At 46.3% G+C, this 21,287-nt stretch overlaps 1 protein-coding gene and 2 long non-coding RNA genes across 4 annotated transcripts in view, besides 5 other annotated features; 1 reads left to right on the top strand and 2 right to left on the bottom strand.

Annotated features, from left to right (window-relative positions):
* SBF2-AS1 (SBF2 antisense RNA 1) overlaps positions 1 to 5,043 on the bottom strand; it is a 53,027-nt gene extending 47,984 nt beyond the window's left edge. Inside the window, exon 1 of the long non-coding RNA NR_036485.1 lies at positions 4,833 to 5,043. This is a non-coding gene — a long non-coding RNA (SBF2 antisense RNA 1). The remainder of the gene's footprint in view (positions 1 to 4,832) is intronic.
* Positions 3,803 to 8,566, top strand: LINC02709 (long intergenic non-protein coding RNA 2709). The gene is made up of 3 exons (NR_033972.1): positions 3,803 to 3,907; positions 5,493 to 5,569; positions 6,438 to 8,566. It is a non-coding gene; the product is annotated as a long intergenic non-protein coding RNA 2709 (long non-coding RNA).
* Positions 4,594 to 4,713: a silencer, noted in NCBI's record as "silent region_3138". NCBI's record gives its function as "represses an Ori minimal core promoter by ATAC-STARR-seq in GM12878 lymphoblastoid cells {active_cell/tissue: GM12878}" and the evidence as "EXISTENCE:reporter gene assay evidence [ECO:0000049][PMID:35858748]".
* Positions 4,834 to 5,233: a silencer, noted in NCBI's record as "silent region_3137". NCBI's record gives its function as "represses an Ori minimal core promoter by ATAC-STARR-seq in GM12878 lymphoblastoid cells {active_cell/tissue: GM12878}" and the evidence as "EXISTENCE:reporter gene assay evidence [ECO:0000049][PMID:35858748]".
* Positions 6,705 to 6,764: an enhancer, noted in NCBI's record as "active region_4425". NCBI's record gives its function as "activates an Ori minimal core promoter by ATAC-STARR-seq in GM12878 lymphoblastoid cells {active_cell/tissue: GM12878}" and the evidence as "EXISTENCE:reporter gene assay evidence [ECO:0000049][PMID:35858748]".
* A 1,776-nt stretch (positions 8,567 to 10,342) lies between the features above and the next one.
* Positions 10,343 to 21,287, bottom strand: part of SWAP70 (switching B cell complex subunit SWAP70) — an 88,917-nt gene continuing 77,972 nt past the window's right edge. For both annotated transcript variants that reach the window (NM_015055.4, NM_001297714.2), the window contains 3 exons: positions 15,280 to 15,478; positions 14,153 to 14,249; positions 10,343 to 13,472 (listed from right to left, as the gene is read on the bottom strand). In NM_015055.4, the coding sequence (NP_055870.2) occupies positions 13,366 to 13,472; positions 14,153 to 14,249; positions 15,280 to 15,478 (403 nt within the window). In that variant the 3' untranslated portion in view covers positions 10,343 to 13,365. The remainder of the gene's footprint in view (positions 13,473 to 14,152; positions 14,250 to 15,279; positions 15,479 to 21,287) is intronic.
* Positions 17,628 to 17,677: a silencer, noted in NCBI's record as "silent region_3136". NCBI's record gives its function as "represses an Ori minimal core promoter by ATAC-STARR-seq in GM12878 lymphoblastoid cells {active_cell/tissue: GM12878}" and the evidence as "EXISTENCE:reporter gene assay evidence [ECO:0000049][PMID:35858748]".
* Positions 17,868 to 17,917: an enhancer, noted in NCBI's record as "active region_4424". NCBI's record gives its function as "activates an Ori minimal core promoter by ATAC-STARR-seq in GM12878 lymphoblastoid cells {active_cell/tissue: GM12878}" and the evidence as "EXISTENCE:reporter gene assay evidence [ECO:0000049][PMID:35858748]".

Genomic DNA, 21,287 nt, shown 5'->3' with positions numbered 1-21,287 from the left:
ACAAAGGAATGTCTAAGTTCTGGTACCCACCATACCCACCTCCCCTTTCTAAGGAAAATGGACACAAACATTTCTTTCTGCTTAAAGTTTCAGGATCATATCATGTGTATTAAGTGAAATCAGTTCTATTTCTCTGGGCAGCAACCCTGACTGGACAAGGGGCAGGTTCTTGGGGTTCCTCAACTAAAGGCAACTGTGTTTGTATGTGTATAATCTTAACATATATACACACACATATATATATAGTAGCTTATGTATTACACACATATATGATATATTCTATAGATATAGATCTGTCAGACATATGCGTACATATATAACTTCAATAGCTTGCCATAAAACTCTGCCCAAATGAGGTTCTCTGTACTGGATGGTGACAGACTTAGCCAGTCATAAACATTCTCTTCCTTCATTTTCTTCCTTGGAGAGTGTGAATGTTTGGTCTCACTGAGAAGTCAGGTCACTTCAAGCTCCAGTTCTATCCTAACAATGGTAAGCTATGTTCCAGTTTTCAATTAAGCCTGCTGAATATACCTGCCTTGAAAGAGTGGGATTTAGAGTGACCTTACAGTTCAGACAGAAACAGCTTTGCTGCTGGGCGTGACTCTCAACCCTGCATTTAGCCCTCATTATCCAAGACAAATGTCAAGCTGCCTCTGCTGGAGGGTGGAGCTAGACAGCCACACTATACCACGTATCCTCCTTGTCCACAGCTGATTTGAGCAGGGCCACCTCACCAGAGGGAGGTCGCACCCATATCCCATCCATCAGCAAATCCTGATTACCTTCAAAATACGTCCTAAACTGGACCACTTATCACTGCCCTCACCACTGCCACCCTGGTCCAAGCCACCAACATCTCTCACCTGGATTTCTGCAGTTGCCTCCTAAGTGGTCTCCCTGTCTGTCTCCCTTTCCCACCTTGTCCCTTTCAGTCTATTCTCATCACGGCAGCCAGAGAGGTCCTTTTTAAAATCTAAGATCATGTCATTTCTCTGTTGAATATCCTCTAATGCCTCCCCTCCTTCTTGGAGTAAAAGTCTAAGTCCTCACAATGGCTTGTAACACAATTCATGATCTGTCCTCTGCTACCCGTCTGACCTCATCTTCCACCATCCTCCCCATGTTCACACAACATCAGCCACACCAGCCTCACTGATGTTCCTCACACAGTGCCACACAGTTCCCACCTCAGGACCACTGCACTTGCCACGCCCTCTTCCTAGAGCATTCTTCCCCCAGATATCTTCACGGCTCACCCCCTCAATTTCTTCAGATCTCTGCTCAAATATGACCATATCAGGGACACCCCCTCTGAGTATCCTATATGCAGCAGAAACCCAACCCCTCCCCAAACTGCTCCCTGCTTTATTTTTTCCATAGCATTTAACGTCAGCACACATGTAACTGCCTACTGTCTCTCTCTCCTCATTAGAAAGTATGCTTCATAAATGCAGCAACTTTGTTTTGCTTGCTATTTTTCAACACGTAGGAGCTTTGTTGAGGTACAAACAGTCACATAAATAAGCACTTGGTAAAAACTTGTAGAAGGAATGAGTAAGAGTGGCTGAGAGTAGACCATGAGCAAGAAAATCGAGCAGAGGGAGCCTGCTGAGACAGGAATGAGTACAGAGAAATGTGAGAAAGAGAGGAACCTTGAGGTCCTCGGGAGACGGAGAGAAGAGCCACCGTTCCTGACTTTCCAGTTCCAATCTTCATGAGGCCTGAATGTCAGTGCTCTCTGCAAGGTTGTCCACTGTATTCTCACAATTGTACTCCTCATTCTTGAAAACATTTGGAGTTTTCTTTGTTCCTTGCAACAAAAACAACCTTGACTTGAGCAGTATCCTTCCAACCATCCATCCACCCATCTCTCCAACCCTACATGCCCTCCTAATCATTTATACTTCTTTTTTTTTTTTTTTTTTTTTTTTTGAGACAGTTTCACTCTTGTTGCCCAGGCTGGAGTACAATAGTGCAATCTCAGCTCACTGCAACCTCTGTCTCCTGGGTTCAAGCGATTCTCCTGCCTCAGCCTCCTAAGTAAGTGGGATTACAGGCATGCACCACCACACCTGGCTAATTTTGTATTTTTAGTAGAGACGGGGTTTCACCATGTTGGTCAGGCTGGTCTCAAACTCCTGACCTCAGGTGATCAGCCTGCCTCGGCCTCCCAAAGTGCTGGGATTACAGGCATGAGCCAACGTGCCTGACTGATCATTTATACTTCTAATCATCTGTCTACAGATCAGTCCACTAGTCCATTCATCCCTATAAGCATCCATTATCCTAGAGTCCACCCATCACCCATCGATCCATATAACCAACAACTATCCATCCACATGTTACCCTTTCATAACCTCCAGGTAGAGGGGAGTAAGGTCATGAAGGATCTCATCACAGGGCTGAGGCCATCCAACTTTAATGCTGAAAAGTGGGAAGCTATGGAAGGATTTTGAACAGGAAAGTTATATAGTTGGACCTGTATTTTAGAAAAATAACTCTGACAGCTATAAGCAAGATAGATAGGTCTTACTGTCTAAAGGCGGGAAGACCAGTTGGGGTAATATTAAAATATTCCAGATGATGAATTAGGGCAGAGACACAGGGGCTTCAGAAAAGAAGATTCAAGGGAGAGACAGGAAAGCAGCTCTGGGAACAAGCCCAAGCCAGAAGGGCAGGCCTAGATGGAAAACTGTCTAATAGGGGGCCTCAGTTTTGCAATCACCAGCTCAGCCCAAGCACTGTATTTGCCCCAGATCTCAAGTGGAACCAGGCCTCCTGCACATTCTGCACATTTGGGGCAGAGTTCCCAAGAAGCCCAATCCAGAACCAGTCCTCTCTGGGCCCTTCAGCAGAGCACTCTGTCCTGCATCTCAGGTCTCTGAGTAAGTGGTATTTCCAGAGTACACATGCCCCCACCAACTCATCTCACAGCTCAGCCTTGGCTACAGAAAGCCAGGGCCTCTTCTTTGTTAATTTTCTTCAACTCCTCAGAGGTTGGGCCTCCGGCCCAGTGAAGTCAGGGTCTGGGAGGCAGCCCTGGCTCCCTGCCCGCCCACAGAGGATATATTTGGAGCAAGACAACTCCTTCTGGACACAGAGCTTGGGACCCACCCCGCAGGGCTGCCCCAACCAATTTTACTGAGTATCCACGCAGTGTGGTTGTCACTCACGTTTTCACTTGTTAGTTCATTCATTTGTTTACTCATTCATTCATTCCACAAACATTTATTGATCTGCTGGTATGATGCAGCAGGTACAACAGGATGTGTGGTGGGCACATATCTGTATATGTGTGTATATGGGTATCTCTAAGCAAGGATGGCAGAACACACTCTGGGTGCCCTCCCTCAGGGTTCAGTGGTGATGATGACTCACACTCAGGTGTATATGGCATCTGTGGGGACCTGTGTGCAAGTACATGCAGGCACGTGCTCTCTGAGGAGGTAGCTATGACTCAGTGGCACGCGGCATCTGTGGGTATCTGTGTGGATATGTGTCTGAGTGCAGGCATGAGCATAGGCGCTTGCTCCCCAGGGGGTGGGGGAAGTGGTTGTGACTCAGCTGCACATGGTGACTGGGAGCCTACAGGCCAGCTGTGACTTTATGGCTTTGCTTATTTGCCAAGCCAAACAGTTAGTGTTGGGCGTAAATATTCTATCAGAGTGTGCATGGAATAAGTCCTGAGCTAGGGACCTCCAGCAGGCAGGAGAGACTCAGTAGTCTTGGCCCAGCAGCATCTGTCCCCCGCCTGCCCCCTCCACCGTAGGTATACAGGTCCTACCCTCCCTCCCTCGCCCTCTCCACTCCTGCCTCCTGGAGACTCAGCGAGCTCGTCCCTCATTGACTCTACATCACCCCTCACCCACCGGTCCCAGGTGCACACACGAGACCAGGCCCAGAGGTACAGGGCTGTGGCCTTCGAGCTGCCAGCCCAATCCATTTTTCTACCATACCAAAAACCCCTTCTTTTTCAGCCCTCATGACCGCGTCTTCCTCCAACATCCCAGCCCCGGTCGTAGGCTCGGCAAGCCCGCTCCAGGGCCCACTTCCCATCTCGGCGGCCGCAGACCCGCTGCCTCCCCATCGGCGCGGCCCCATCTTCACCTCTGAGCTCCTTGCCCCTCTCTCCCTGGCTGTCTCTGTCCTTATCTGTCCCAAGTCTATCTTTGTCTCTTCTCGAGCCGGGCTGTCTGCAGCAGAGGCTTCACCAGAGTGGAGGTGCTGACAGAGTGCGGGGTGTGGGGAGGACAATCTGTGTCCCTTCTTGAGCCTTATCGGGAAAACTTAAGTCACTGCTCAGGGCTCAGACTGGAATTTCGCCCTAGATGACCTTGCTGGGTCTGCTGGGGCCTCCGCAGGGACAGCCAGGGTCAAACGAGTCAGGAAACAGGCCCCTGCTTGTGGGCCGCCTGCCCGCCCTCATCCCAACCAGGCCGCCTGCAGCGCCCTCGGCGGGAGACGCCGGGGAGGGGAGAGAAGGGAGGAGACGGGAGGGGCGGCCCCGTCTTGGGCACTCGCAGGGACTGGCGGGAGGCCGTGTGGGGCTGGAATCGTGACCACGGATGCCGCAAGGCCACAGGGCCCTCCTCGGGGTCCCGGCCGGAAATCCTCAGGGGCCCGAGGAGGAGCCGGGGCGGCCACCCGACCACCTCCCCGCGGGCCGCAGGCAGGCGGCGCGCCGTACCCGCCGAGAACGCGGGAAGAGGCCATCGCGTCTGGACACCTGGGCTTCGTCCCAGAGCCGTCACTGCTGTGTCCCCTTGGGCAACTGCCTAGCTCCCTGAGCCTCACTTTTCACACCTGGAACATAGGAAAATTGCGCCCACCTTCTGGGTCGTGGCAGATAAAATGAGTTCACGTCAGGGCTGGCTCTCAGGAGGCGCTCAGTGCTCGTGGCTTTCCTCCCCGGTGGACAGAACCCCGGGGCAGCTCCCCGCGCCCTGACGCCCAGAGCGGAGCGGCCCGGAGCGGAGCGACCACCGCACACTGGACCCGACCCTAGTCGGCCCCGCGCGCCCGGGTCGGGGCTGGAACCTGCGGGCGTGGCGCACGCCTGCCACCTGGCGGCGAAGCCCCCAGGCCGCCCGTCCCGCCCACGGCTGCGCGCGTGCGCAGGCCTGCACCACCCAGTCGCCCCCACCACGCCGCGCCCCGCCTCCCTCGCCCAGGGACTTCCTAGGCCACGCCACGCCGCTCCACCAGCTCAGGGAACCCCCTTGGCCGTGCAGACCTGCGCCACAGGGTCGTTTCCTCCCCTCCTTCCCTCGAAAGCGTATGCATTTCGTTGCCCCTGGAACTGGGGTCATTTCAGGACCTCCCAAGGAGGGTCAGGATGGTGGTATTGGCCTTAGGGGACGCGGGCTCAGGTTGGCGGTTGAACCGCATGTTCCTGTTTCAAACAAACCTAAATGTAGGCCTGGAAGGCTGTGCACTGAAATCCTAGTATTAGGTTGGTGCAAAATTAATTGCGATTTTTGCCATTGTAGGTTGTCTGCAGAGTGAGATTATGGCGAAGCATTTTATTCTTTTTACAAACCTGCTTTTTCTCAGTTTTCCACATTGGGTATGTATTGGTGATAAGGAAAAAAAAACTACAAAAGATATTTTTTGAAAAAAAAAAATCACATGGAGAGAGAGAAAAGGGGACGAATTGGCCTATCAAGGGGGTTTCCGGAAGTTAACTTTCTAGTATCTCTGTTTGCATGTAGACTCCCAGGGTGCCCTGGGAGAAATGGAGAAATGAAGCCCAGGACATGAGGCATTGGGATGGATGGTCCATCTTTCACATGTGCTGGGATTAACTTCCTTTAAGAAAAAAGGAAGGCAAAAGGGTTCCCAGCCTTAGGGTTGGGTGGGGTAGAGGCTCCAAATAAACCAGAAACTCTTGAGTAGAGGTGGTCAGTCATTGCTGTCTGGTTCAAGCGCTGATTGGACCCAAGGGGACCAGATCCAGGATATATTTGAGAACAAGGAATTTATTTCAGAAAGGGGCCACTCAACAGTCAGCATTTACTAAGAACCTGCTTGGTACAGGGTGCTGGAACTACCACAACGAGGCTGCCCCTTCCCTTAAGGAGTTCTGGGCTGACTTTTGGGAAAGTTCATCAGCGGTGACGGGTAGTGAGTGAGGCAGATCAGCAGGAACATTACAAGCCGCAGGAACCGTCAGCTGCTGATAGAGGCCCTGGGAGGTAGAGTGGAGAACAGCTCTGGCCACCACAGCTAATGGCCACCAAGGGAGCGACAGGACCCTTGAGGGGAGAGCAGAGGCTGGAGGTCCTTGGGGTCTACTGGGAGGTGGCAGTCACAGGCCCTTGGGTCCTCTCCACAGCCTTGCTGGAACCTTCCAAAGAGCAGGTGTGACTGGGGAAGTGTGTTGCTGGGCTGTCACCCTCACCTGGGACCTCCTCTGTGCACTCATCCATTCACAGATTTGCCAGCTACCTGCCTTTGCAGGACACCTCAGAAGTTACAGACTTGCCTGTGGAAATGCAGAGAGCACCTGAGGTATTTCCCGGACTCTCCAGTAGTAGCCTTGAATGGCTGACCAACCGCAGTCACCTGCCAGATCTTCTCAGAACCGGCCAGCCCACCAGCGACAGGCCCATTAAGTGGCCTGGCCCAGCCCAGATGGAAAACCCCCTCCACGTGACTTTCTAAAGAACATGCATGAAGACAAAACACCAGGTGCCTCAGGTGTGACACCCTGAGGACACATCACCTGTACAGTATCCTAACCCACCCAAGATGACACAGTAAGGTAAAACCACAGTAGAGCCCAGGCCTGTTTGACTCTGAAGTCCAGGCTCCTTTCCAACTTAGTGCCCTAAAGGCCTGATTGGGGTGGGGGTAGGCAGGAAGATTCAAGCACTGATTGTTTGTAGCCCAGGCTGGGAGGGCAACAGCTCTAGAAAAAAAGTCACTCACTGCTTTAACCATCTTCCAGCTAACTGCAGTGAGGTGTACAGGGCCATGGGGCTCTGGGATGAACTCTTCCACCTCTACACCTTGTAAACAAGGATTCCAGACACACCCTCCAAATGGGAATGGAGACACACGTTTGGCAGAGTTGGACAGTAACGCTGCTCTCCTATCAGCCTGGACTTTGAGGGGAGTGGAAAACATGAGTGTGGAGGTGCAGCAGTCCTGGTATCCCCTGAAACCAGCCTGTGGGGGGAACAGTCTTCCCAGGGGAGCTGCTCAGGATCGTCCTGGTCCCATGCATCAGGAAGAAAAGGGAACCTGAGAGCAGAGGGAAAATGCAGAAAGTGGGGCAGGGAGACTGCTCCCTGAAACCCCCATGGGCTGCTGGTCCAAGCAGAAAGTGTTGTCGGAGGGGGGAGAGGCAGGGTGAAATGGGACAGGAAACGAGGACTTCCGATGAGGAGGAGGAGGGGGCAGTGGGCTGCGGGTCTTGGGGACTGAACAGAATGGGGTTTGCTAGACAGAGCTTTCGTCTACCCACTCCTGAAGTCCTGCTGGACCTCAGCTGGCCCTTGTGAACTGTTGAGGGGGATATAAACACAAAGGCCTGCATTCCTGTGGGTGCACAATCCTAAGAGACCATGGACTGCCTGTGTGTGGTGGGAACAGGAAAAGGAGGCTGAGTGTAGCCCTGCTTGGAATTTAGTGTCCACCACAGATGTATCCACTACCCAGGGCCAAAGACTCGGCAGCCTCAGAAGACTCAATGGAAGCTGAGCACAGGACTAGAAAGGGTCAGGGCCCTCCTCTGTATGTAGGGGTGGCACATGGCCACTAGCTGGGTGATGGGGCACTGAGAAATTAAATGTTTGACATAAAAATGTAATCAGGACCCGAGAGGAGGTGGGTGGTGTAATGAACAGCATCCTAGAAGTCCGGTACAGATTTCACGTGTCACCTTCTAGTTCCTTATCTGAAATTGAAAGGTGAGGTCAGGTGCAGTGGCTCAGGCCTGTAATCCCAGCACTTAGGGAGGCTGAGGAGGGCATATCATTGAGGTCAGGTGTTTGAGACCAGCCTGGCCAACATGGTGAAACCTCTACTAAAAATACGAAAATTAGCCGGCTGTGCTGCACACGCCTGTCGTCCCAGCTACTTGGGAGGCTGAGGCAGGAGAATCCCTTGAACCTGGGAGGCAGAGGCTGCAGTGAGCTGAGATCACACCACTGCACTCAAGCCTGGGCATCACAGCGAGACTTCTTAAAAAAAAAAAAAAAATTTAAAGGTGAGCCAGTTCAGGCTTCTAGAGGCACTGCAGTTACAGACGGTAAACTGCACAAATCCTGGGTGTGAAGCTGTTTTTTCCTGTGTAACCACCACCCATTGACAGCATCCCAGAAAGTTCAAGTGTGTCCCTTCCCAGTTTACAGCCACCCGCCTCCCACCCTCACTTCTAAATCCACCGATTAGCAGTGTGTCTTGGAAATTAATATACAAGGAATCATATAGTATGTGCTCTTTTGTGTTTGGCTTCTTTGCTCAAGATGTCCGTGAGATTCAGCCGGGTTGCCTCTCTCTGTAATATGTTAATTTAGGTGTAGTATCCATTGTCTGGAAATACAATTGTCTATTCTCTACTGGTGGATATTTGAGTGTCTCTGGTTTGGGGCCATTATAATAAAACTGTTGTGAATCTTCTTATACAAGTTTTTTGGTGGACATCAGCCTCATTTCTCTGAAATGAGTGGAAACTGCTGGGCCGGAGGGTAGCTGTTGTTTTTAGCTTTAGTGGATATTGCCAAGTAGGAAGTAGGGAGGTGATTATTACAGTCTCTAATATATAAAAAAGGAGTAGAGGGGGAAAGAGAGGAAAGAAATAGAGATTCCATAAACTATTCCCAAAACTGATCCTTTAACAAATCTGGAGCACCTCCTCTGCACTGTAAAAGCTGAGGAGTGCCTCTTCCCACGCTTTCATATGTCTTGATCTTATTCACCTGATCCTCACCCCACTAGGGCAGCTGTGCCTTGCTGGAACTACCCAGAAGGTTGCAATTAAAGCTTGGCCAGTTAGAACAAGCACAAGCGCTGTGCGGGACACATCACTACCTGAGTGGCAAATCTGAAAATTCATTCCTCACAAGCTGCTAAATGGTGCTGACAGACCCACCCTGTGTTTCACCACCTGGAAAGAAATCAGGGTTAAGGCAGCTTTTACACTTCATGCCTCAGCAACTTGCATCATAGTCTTTTAAAATATATCCAAAGCAACCCCCTCCAGAGGCTCTGGGTGTGTCAGAGGTCCCTGCCCTCTGCTCTCTGCCAGCTCACAGAGAAACAGGCATTCTCCCTTCCAGGTGCTCCTCATTTGCACTGAAGAGGTCAGTCAACTCCTAGGACATCTGAAAGGGAAACCCTGACTCCAAGGGTTATATTGTGTTCTGGATAATAGAACTTGCCTTTCTGTAGAGCAGGTTTTCTCAACCTTGCCACTACTGACATTTTAGTCCACATAATTGTTAATGGGGGCTGTCCTGGGCATTTTAAGATGTTTTGCAGCATCCCTGGCCTCTACCTACTCGATGCCAGCAACACTCCCTCCAGTTGTGACAACAAAAAATGTCTCCAGACGTTGCCAAATGTCCCCTGGAGGGCAAAATTACCACCAGTTGAGAACCACTGTGATAGAGAAAGAACAGTTTTTTGTTTTTGTTTTTTTGAGACGGAGTCTCCCTCTGTCGCCCAGGCTGGAGTGCAGTGGCATGATCTTGGCTCACTGCAAGCTCCGCCTCCCGGGTTCACGCCATTCTCCTGCCTCAGCCTCCCGAGTAGCTGGGACTACAGGCGCCCGCCACCACGCCTGGCTAATTTTTTTGTATTTTTAGTGGAGACGGCGTTTCACCGTGTTAGCCAGGATGGTCTCGATCTCCTGACCTCATGATCTGCCCGCCTCAGAAAGAACAGTTTTTAAACACACCAACCAGTGTCCTCTCCCTCCCTCCAAGAGGGAAAGATCAGCTTTCCAATATACAATCAAGCTGGCCTGAGTGGGCCCACTTAGTCCACAACAGGCATTTTATCTTGGCAACAATGCAAACCACAACAAACAAACAAAAAGCCACACGGTTTACTCTGGTGAAAGAAAAACTGAAAGGCATAAAAAGAAAACTAAGGAAAACAGAGGTAAGAAAATTTGAAGGTAACAGCAACAATGAATGAGAAATCATCTTTGTAAGTTCCCGTTTGTGAGCTGACACATCAGCCATGGCTTCCCCACATTCGTGACTCAAACACCAAACATGAGGCCACAGCTAACTTCTTGGGGTCTAAACTCCAAACCCAGTGTTTTCAGGAAATGTCCCTAAACCAAAGTCCATCTCATTATATGAAAATACACATAGATACACCCAACTTTACCCCCCACTGTTTTATTAAATCAGACAGTTTAAAGTGTATGTTCTGGTATTTTTAATTTTCTTACTGGGTCCATTTTACTTAAAAAAAAATATAAAACATTTTTAATGTATCTTAGAAAAATTAGCAAAAAATTGAGAAAGTTGAGCATATTACATTGTACAATGTTTTCATACGAATGTTTTAAAATCATAAATATTTGGTTTCCCCTCAACATAGCACATCACAAAAATACATTTCAAAAACTTTTTTCATATATAATTCCTGTAAATGATCATATCCCTACTTATTAAGGAAAACACCTGATGACAAGCACTCAAACACTCTTGAAATTTTCTGTACAGTAATTACAAAAGTAAAACCAAGAGTTCTGTTGGCCCTTTAACAGGTGAAACCATTTTAAATAGTATCAAAATATAATTCCAAATGGGATATACTTAGTTCATTTCTGTGCTATCTTTGATTCACAAGTATCTATCTTAGCCAAAGCACTGTTTAAAAGGATATTGCCTCCTAGACATAGTGCCACTGAAAACCAAGATGTAAATCGGTAACACTATGCATTAAACAGAAAGCTTTTGCACAACCACATATGTAACCGCTTAGTCGTATCAAGGTCCACATGTGACCAGAAAGCAGGCAGTCCTTAGGTGGATGGCCAGGGGCCAGGCAGTGTGAGGTCTCCAAGAACCCAGGGCTAGAGCAGCTAAGCCCCAGGTCATGTTATCAGCTACAGCTGTGGAATAAGCCAGGTTTAAAGAAGGACATTCTGCAAAAGTGCAGGACCTATTTCACAACTTCTAGAAGTAGAAATTCACATATTCCATCATGATCCTCCCCACCATGCAGAGACTATTTGACTCCTAAGGCCACACTGTTTCCATCCCATAGATTTCACAGAGGTGATTAGGTTCTTTGTAGAATACTTTTTCCTCATTCTGGAATGAGGGATACTGGAGTCTTCTGGTGTAATGTGCAGTCAAACCACAGGAAAGGTTCCATTCCTTACCTAAGTCTCGTTGGTCTAATACACCTGCCAGCTACTGAATAAAATGATAATACTGATAAATGGCTGGGCAGAAATCCAACACCCAAATCAGCTGTCAAATTTCAAAGGCACATGATACAAAAATATTTTAGACAATACACTTTATAAAGGCAACTATAAGAAACCGTTAAAGTTACATTTTTATTAAACAGCCAAAAATCTTAAGACAAATACCTACAGACCATTTCTTCATTGGCAAATATTTTCCAGTCATAAAAGGTGATAATTTATGGGATTATATTCCAGTTTCCTCTCATGTAAATAAATACATACACTGAATCTCTAATACCACTCTCTCTAGATGTATACATCTATTTGGAATTGCTTTCTTAGTATGCACTCAGCAAGCACTAGCATAAGAACACCTGAGGTTCTCTGTCCTCATTTAATACCTGTAAGAGAAAAGGACTTTATTCTACTGAATTCTGCCCTTTTTTTGCAACAACTGAATTATCCCCATATTTATTTACAATTTTAAGCTTGATTGCTGTCCACGGAGTTACTGTTGCTTCTCAATTATAACTAGTGTTAGAAGGCTTGATTTCATAAATGTTCTTTTTAATCCAAAGATAGATCATATATGAAAACCTTCCTCAATACTCCTTTCAAATCAGATGCATATAAACTATGATCCCAATTTCCCTGTTAGACGTATTTCTGTTGGATATTTCCTCCGTTGTCACCACAGAGGAAGGGAAAAAGCAGAAAAGCTGCCCACCTAACAAAGGCTAACATAATGGCTAGGCTAATATATTGACATGCTATCATCTTTATGATGTTTTGAATCTAACTAGCAGACATACAGTCAACTTCCTGTTGACCATGTGCATCTAATCTGCTTTCTTAATTATACAAATAATTTTTATTTCAAATTAGCTTCTTTCTACTACTCAGTATAATCCTCTCACAGCCTGGCATATACTTGGTAGCACATCATTCACTAGAGAGAGTACGAGAGAAAATTAGGTTGACAATATGGGGCAAAGGGGTAGTCTCCTTTAAGGTGAGGGGAAAGGAGATGGGAATGAAACATGCCAAGTGTATGATGGTTAGGGAAAGAAATATCTTAGTAGAAGCTAGAAAACCTCTACTAACAGGATCACATTCCAAAAGGGCAACCAGGAAATGGCAATGACTCCATGACTTCTCTGTCAGAGCACCAATGGTCAAAGGCATTCCATGTCAAGTGTCAGGAAATGGAAAGCGAACCGGCCAATCTAGTTTAACAGCACATACTCGGAAAAGGAAACACGCTGCCAAAGGAAAGAGCTGACATCCAGTCCACAGAGGTTCTGAGTACCCAGTGGCAGTGAGCCCCTCCAAACTCTGCAGAGCTGACTGTGCTGTCTGCACCCTGCCTCATTTGGGGAAGAATCTGAGAGAGCTAAAAGACAAATTTCAGAAGGTGATGTTTTCAAAGAAAGAGTAAACAAACAGCTTGACAATGTTGACTTTTTTTTTCTTTTCAGGTAACCCTTGTTTGCAGGAAGATAAATAAGAAGGCTTCCTTAGGATACTGACCCACTTAGAGAGGCACAGAAGGAAGAAGAGTTAAAAGCAGCAAAGCCGGGTTTTTTTGTTTTGTTTTGTTTTGTTTTGTTTTGAGATGGAGTCTCACTCTGTTGCCCAAGCTGGAGTACAACGGCATGATCTCAGCTCGCTGCAACCTCCGCCTCCCACGTTCAAGTGATTCTCCTGCCTCAGCCTCCCAAGTAGCTGGGATTACAGGCGCCCGCCACCACGCTCAGCTAATTTTTTTTGTATTTTTAGTAGAGACAGGGTTTCACCAGGTTGGCCAGGCTGCTCTTGAACTCCTGACCTCAGGTGATCCACCCGCCTCGGCCTCCCAAAGTGCTGGGATTACAGGCGTGAGCCACCACGCCCGGCCCCCAAAGCTGTTTCTTTTGTCTTTAGCGTAAAGCTCTCCTGCCATGCAGTATCTACATAACTGACGTGACTGCCAGCAAGCTCAGTCACTCCGTGGTCTTTTTCTCTTTCCAGTTCTTCTCTCTCTCTTCAAGTTCTGCCTCAGTGAAAGCTGCAGGTCCCCAGTTAGTGATCAGGTGAGGGTTCTTTGAACCTAAGAGGCAAACATGCTTTAAATACAGGAAGTATTATATTCTTCAGGATACCCCATCATTTTTCTACAGACAAAATAGTAACTTCCCTACTTTATTTCTTCTTTGAGGAACATGCATAAATGTCATACCAGCTAAAACAATTAGAAGATGTATACCAAGGGGATTAACTGGGCCCTCTTACCTATTAGGGGATAAGATTTTCAAGAGAAATTTATCCTGAACAGCTTGGTTTTTTTACATTTGGGCTAAAAAAGTTTCTTTAGTACAATTCAAATACACAAGTGAAACAGAAAAATAAATTTAAAAATAAATATATGGGCAGGGCGTGGTGGCTCACGCCTGTAATTCCAGGACTTTGGGAGGCTGAGGCGGGCGGATCACGAGGTCAGGAGATCAAGACCATCCTGGTTAACACGGTGAAACCCCGTCTCTACTAAAAATACAAAAAATTAGCCGGTCGTGGTGGCGGGCACCTGTAGTCCCAGCTACTTGGGAGGTTAAGGCAGGAGAATGGCATGAACCCAGGAGGCGGAGCTTGCAGTGAGCCAAGATCGCACCACTGCACTCCATCCAGCCTGGGCGACAGAGCGAGACTCCATCTCAAAATAAATAAATTAATTAAATAAAATAAAAATGAAAAATAAAAATAAATATATGATTACTTCATAGAGTCTGTTACCTGGTTCTATCAGTCGAATTAATCCTTCATGATGGGCCACTTTGTCCTTCCAGCTCTTGGTCTTATTAGTTGCCATCTCCAGCTTCTTTTTAACTTCCTGAAACAAAAGTGGATTTTGGACTATGCAGACACACGGGTAGTTTAAGAACCAAATCACAACTATTGGGCCCTTACTATGTATTTGTGAATTATCTCATTAAATCCTCTCATAGCCCATTCTAAGAAGTGGGAACTACTATTACCCCATTGTACAGAGTGAAAACGGGTTCAGAGAAGGTCAGTAACCTGCCGAGAGTCACACAGCAGGAAATGGTAGAGCCAGAATTGGAACCCAGGCTGTCTGATTCCAAAGCCTATTCTTCCACCATCTGCATACGAATTACAATGGGTGTATGGCCCTGTGTGCCAGTTACAGTTTACTGCCTCTCCACTCCAAATCCACCCTGAACTGTCCTGCTGGTGAAACTAAAATAATTCTCCTCACTAGCTGGCAGCATAAAGCTTTGTCAGTAGAGGGTGCTGAAGGGACACGAGGAGGGAGGGACTTTTCTTCTAGGTTCCACTCAGCGGCTCCTGTGGCACTCAGAACACCCACAGTGCTCACCACCAGTGAGTTTCTGTAGCACCTCCCTGTGGGCAGCTTTTGCCGGTGGCCTCCCAGTGAGCTTTGCTGGCACAGCACCTCAACAAACTTTTCTGCCATCTGTGCACCCTCTCCATGGAGGTATGGATCACAACACTGGGGTTAAGGGGCAAGAAGCAAAGAATGCTCTTCCAGATCCACTCCCTCCCTGGTGCTCTGCCTCAGTTTTCGAGGCAGTGGCTGCTCCCTACGTCTGCTGTTCCTGCATTCTCAAAGCCTTCTTTACAACACAGTAGGTAATCTCCTATGACAGTTAATAATGTTTTATATTAAACTTTCCCTGTTCAAATTACTGTGCAGTTTCTGTCTCTGATGGATGTATAATATATCTTATCTCCTGTAAAAACTCCCTCTTTTTTCTTTCTTACAGCTAAGCAAGATTCTTACTACAGCTTCATATTGGCAGCTAAGCAAATAATTCTATTATTGAGAAATGTTTTTCAAAAATTTAAATATACAAGTTTGCAGGGCCAAGTCTCATTACCTCGTACTGCTCAAGTGCTTGCTTCCGTTCTAACTCAAGCTGCTCCAGCTGCTCCATGGCCTCCTGCAGGGCCTGTTCCTTCAGGACACGCTGATTCTCCAACTCCTGCTTCTCCGCCTCGGTTGTCTGAATGGCCTGCTGCTGCTCCAAGTGCCACTTTTCTAGTTCAGCCCTCTTGGAAGACTCTTCCTCCAACAACCTACAATGTGGAGGAAAGCTCCAGATCAAATCCTGCCCAGGTCACCACCCTGACCCAGCAGACGAGGGAAGCATTTTAGACAAGAGAATATTTGAGGTCGTCTAATCCCCCTTTCATTCCACCAGGAGGAAAGCAGGAGCCAGAGAAGCTCATATTCACAAAGCTGGTAAAGCAGCCTATATGTCCTGCTCTAAGCTCTCTCAGTTTCACCCGTTTGTGAAATAAAAAATAACATTTATCCAGAGTTTAATGTGTGCCAGGAACTGGCCTAAGAGTCAAGTGTATTTTCTCAATTAATCCTCACAGTAAATTTAGGTGCTGCTACTCATATTTTAGAGATGGTGCAAGTGAGACACAAAGGTTCAGTGGCCTGTACTAGGATCATCCACCTGCCAGGTGGCAGGGCCAAGATTTGAAGTTTGCCTGGTTGCTACAACATGAAAACATTTTCATCTAGTAAAAACCTGTTACCATGGAAAAAGCTGATAATGAAGATGAAGAAAGGAGTGAACGCAGACAGAATAGAGATACTATTTATTGAACAATTGCTACATGCCAGGCCCTTGCCTCCATTATTGCTAATCCCCTGACAATCCTGAAAGGTATTGTCCCTACATTACAGATGAAGCAATGAAAAACCAAAGGGTTTAAAAGTATGTTGCACAGGTTATAATGGATTTTAACCCAGGTCTGTGTGACTCCAAAATAACAGGAATACCTATCTGGGAATACCCAGCTATGTAGTTGTTTAAATAAACTAACAAACAGCCAAAACCTGCATTAAAGTGTATATAGTGTCGTTCGATGCCAGCCAAGGACAGGATACATATCTAGTGGCTTGAGCAACAATATTATGGTAACAAAGTCAAGTCACATGACTGGTCAGTTACTACTACCTGCCAGCATCTGCTCTTATAAAACTAACAACAAAGGAATAAAGTAACAGACTATACCAACACCAATTTCCAAATTCCCTCTACAACTTCCTGCAAGGTTGTTATTCAACTCAGCTCCAATACTCTAGGTGATGGGCTACCACTCGTTGCCTCACAAATTGGGCCAGTTTATTTATGGGCAGCTTCAATTCTTACGAAGTTTTTTCTTATACTAAGATGAGTTCTCCCATCCACTACCCTAGTTCCACAAAGGAAGTATCTACTCCCTCTTCCCTGTGATAGCCCTTTCGCAACTGGAAGGCAGCTTTGTTGCCTGTTGAGAACATCCTTCTCCAAGAAGACCACCTCCAGCCTTAACTAATGGGACCCAGCTTCCAGACTCAATATCCTTCTTTGGAGACACTGAGGTCTCCTCAGATGTCTCTTGGAGTTTGATGTACACAACAGAACACGACACTACAGATGTGGTCTGACCAGTGCAGAGTTTATTCACTCAGTTGATGTGTATTTTTTATGTGCCTTCTACGTGCTTTTCTAGGCACTGGGGATATAAGAATGAACAAGACTGGATGGGTCTGTTTTTTCATTCTAGTGGTAAAAGTATGGAGGGGGAATGGACATTTCCAGGTGCTTAGGCTGCCCAGCCTCTGAACTCCTTCATGTGTCTAGGGGAACTGCCATAGTAGAAGACTTGATGGAAGGTAGGGCTCATTTCCCGCTATAGAATCCACAGGCCAGACACCTGCCCTCCCACCCCTTGGCAGCTAGGGTATGGTGGAGGCACAAGCTGGGCTTGGCTATGTAGATGCTCCTTCTGGAACTTTGACTCTGAAGCACCTGGCACAAAGAAGCAGAGCCAGTAGAGAATTCATCTTGCCGGTGGCAGTAATATGCAGTGTTGAGTGACAGCAGGAGCGATGGCACTGCTGATGCCTGGTACCAACATGGGCGCCAGCGGCATCCTCACTGGACTCTTCCCATGGCCTGGCTTGGGCTGTAGTTGGGGCTGCTCATCCCCCTGTGATTCCTGCCTGTGTTCAAGGCCTGGTCACCTGCCTTTCTGTGGAACTGGCAAACTATTTAAGAAACTTTCAACAAATTGTTTTATTGCTTTAGCTAATACAAGGTGGTTTCTGTGGTTCGCAAGTAAGACTCCTGACTAAAGACTTCAGTGCCTCACTCTTTTTCTGTGTATCGGCTTCCTCATTTATCAAAAAAGGAATAGAAACTACACCTACCATCAAAGGTTTATTAGTGTATTAAATGCGATAATGCACATAAGGTGTTTACATGCCTACCACACAGCAAGTACTGGTAGGTAACAGCTCATATTATAGAGGGACAATTATCTCATTTGCTCTGGACACTTCACATTCATTAAGGCTGCCTAAGAGTGTATAGGGTTTTGGCAACCACATTTCAGGGAAATGAAACTGTAGAACTTTTCAAATGAATTTCTATAAAGCCAAGTCTCCTGGATCCTGTACTTGTTCTTTTGATATGTTAAATTAGCTTCTTGGTCTAAAATCATCATTCTAGCCTGTCAACATCTTTTTTCTGAATGCTTATTTTTACATTCCACACATTATATATCTTCCCCGTCTGCAAATGAGATAAAGGAACAGAAAGCAACACACTCGGAGTGACTCCCAAATGCTAGGCATTACTCTAAAACACTCTGCATGCATCATTTCATTTCATCCTCACAACAACTGTATAAAGTTGGCCATTCTCTCAAGTTACACAGCTAAAAGTACCAGAGCCAGGAATCAAACCGTGGCCTCATTCCAGAGCCCAGTCTCTAACCTTCAAATATATGAAAAGTATTATATCAAATGTAAGAGGGACTGTTGTTCCATGTGGTCCCATTGGATCCATTCATTCATTCAAAAAAATTTCCCTGGGTACTTACTGTGTGCCAGGTACGAGTTGCTGGGAATACAGACACGACTAAGGTGTACTCCAGGGTGTTACAGATCCAAAGTGGGTAAGAGTTACAACAGGACAGATTATGGCTCAGCCTCAAGAACTTTCCAATAACTCGATTTTTCTTAATTTTTTCTTTTTTGTTTTTTTCTTTTTTGAGACAGGCTGGAGTACAGTGGTGCAATCTCAGCTCACTGCAACCTCTACCTCCTGGATTCAAGTGTCTCAGCCTCCCGAGTAGCTGGGATTATAGGCATGCACCACCACGCCCAGCTAATTTTTGTATTTTTAGTAGAGACAGGGTTTCACCATGCTGGCCAGGCTGGTCTCAAACTCCGAGCCTCAAGGGATCCGCCCGCCTCAGCCTCCCAAAGTGCTGGGATTAGAGCGTGAGCCACCATGTCCGGCCAATAACTTGAGTATTCTACATTTTAAATGAACAGTTTTCTTCTGAGTTCTCATTCAGAAGTGGCTAGATCACCTTCAGGATTACACATAAAAAAATAAACTTCATAGCAGAAAGGGTGACTATAGTCAATCATAATTTAATTGTACATTTAAAACTAACTAAAACAGTATAGTGGACTGTTTGTAAGACTAAGGATAAATGCTTGAGGTGATGGATACCCCATTTACCCTGATGTGATTATTACACATTGTATGCCTGTATCAAAATATCTCATGTACCTCACAAATATAAACACCTACTGTGTACCCACAAAAATTAAAAGTTAATAAAAAACTTCAATCGTAATTTTTAAAATTACAAGATCTGGCCAGGTGCAGTGGCTCAAGCCTGTAATCCCAGCACTTTGGGAGGCCGAGGCGGGTGGATCACGAGGTCAGGAGATCAAGACCATCCCGGCTAACACGGTTAAACCCCGTCTCTACTAAAAATACAAAAAATTAGCTGGGCGTGGTGGCAGGCGCCTGTAGTCCCAGCTGCTCAGGAGGCTGAGGCAGGAGAATGGCTTGAACCTGGGAGGCAGAGCTTGCAGTGAGCCGAGATCACGCCACTACACTCCAGTCTGGGTGACAGAGCGAGACTCCGTCTCAAAAAAAAAAAAAAAATTACAAGATCTACGTGTTTCAAGCTAAAGTTCTTGTCTTTCATTTAAACAATTTACTATAAAAAGTTTCTCTTTTTTTTTAAGACACTGTCTTTTTAAGAGACTGACAGAGAAAGAACTATCCATTAAAAGAATAATGAGATTCCAAATATTCCACGAATGATCGGCTGTTGCTTTAAGAAAGGAGTGAGCAAACAAATTTACAAGAAAAAAAGAAACAACCCCATCAAAAAGTGGGCGAAGGACATGAACAGACACTTCTCAAAAGAAGACATTTATGCAGCCAAAAAACACATGAAAAAATGCTCACCATCACTGGCCATCAGAGAAATGCAAATCAAAACCACAATGAGATACCATCTCACACCAGTTAGAATGGCAATCATTAAAAAGTCAGGAAACAACAGGTGCTAGAGAGGATGTGGAGAAATAGGAACACTTTTACACTGTTGGTGGGACTGTAAACTAGTTCAACCTTTGTGGAAGTCAGTGTGGCGATTCCTCAGGGATCTAGAATTAGAAATACCATTTGACCCAGCCATCCCATTACTGGGTATATACCCAAAGGATTATAAATCATGCTGCTATAAAGACACATGCACAAGTATGTTTATTGCGGCATTATTCACAATAGCAAAGACTTGGAATCAACCCAAATGTCCAACAATGATAGACTGGATGAAGAAAATGTGGCACATATACACCATGGAATACTATGCAGCCATAAAAAAGGATGAGTTCATGTCCTTTGTAGGGACATGGATGAAATTGGAAATCATCATTCTCAGTAAACTATCGCAAGAACAAAAAACCAAACACCGCATATTCTCACTCATAGGTGGGAACTGAACAATGAGAACACTTGGACACAGGAAGGGGAACATCACACACCGGGGCCTGTTGTGGGGTGGGGGGAGGGGGGAGGGATAGCATTAGGAGATATACCTAATGCTAAATGACGAGTTAATGGGTGTAGCACACCAGCATGGCACATGTATACATATGTAACAAACCTGCACATTGTGCACATGTACCCTAAAACTTAAAGTATAATAATAATAAAATTAAAAAAAAAAAAAAAGGAGTGAGAAGAGTTAACTGAGCAGCCTTTTACACAGGCCCTTGGCGTAAGATTATGTGCATTTCATTAGTGCCAGTTTTCCAACCCAACTCCAGGATGACTTCCCTTGATTTTTCTATCCAGAAAGGCCTATCCTGAGGAGCAAAGAACAAACCCTCTCTGCCAATCTGACAGAAAGTCCCTCTGAATCAGCCACAGCCTTCAGTGACTTCAGGAAAGAGGAACACATTTCACTTAAAAATGACCACTAGGCCGGGCGTGGTGGCTCATGCCTGTAATCCCAGCACTTTGGGAGACCGAGACAGGCGGATCACAAGGTCAGGAGATGGAGTCCATCCTGGCCAACATGGCAAAACCCCATCTCTACTAAAAATACAAAAATTAGCCAGGTGTGGTGGTGCGCGCCTGTACTCCCAGCTACTCGGGAGGCTGAGGCAGGAGAGTCGCTTGAACCCAGGAGGCGGAGATTGCAGTGAGCCGAGATCACGCCACTGCACTCCAGCCTGATAACAGAGCAAGACTCCATCTCAGAAAAAAAAAGGGAGCAGGGGGGCAAATTTGTCCATTTCAGGTTCCAAAAACTAAGAGAAAAAAAAATTTAGAATAATAAAATAATTATATTCATAAAATGCCCTTTGCACATTAAGAAAAAGTTAAATTTGTGTGCAGTACTTTCAGCATATTGGATCAGAGCTGTATGTAGAAGTTACATCTGGATTCAAAAGGTTGAAACCATTTTGCTATTGCTTAAATCAGAGTGTGCAAAATAATTAGCTGGAGTTTTTTGCCGTTGTTGTTTTGTGTTTTTTTTGAGACAGGGTCTCATTCTGTCCCCC

This window comes from Homo sapiens, chromosome 11, assembly GCF_000001405.40.
Source record: "Homo sapiens chromosome 11, GRCh38.p14 Primary Assembly".
Classification (NCBI taxonomy): domain Eukaryota; kingdom Metazoa; phylum Chordata; class Mammalia; order Primates; family Hominidae; genus Homo; species Homo sapiens.
This window is presented reverse-complemented; position numbering and strand designations above follow the sequence as displayed.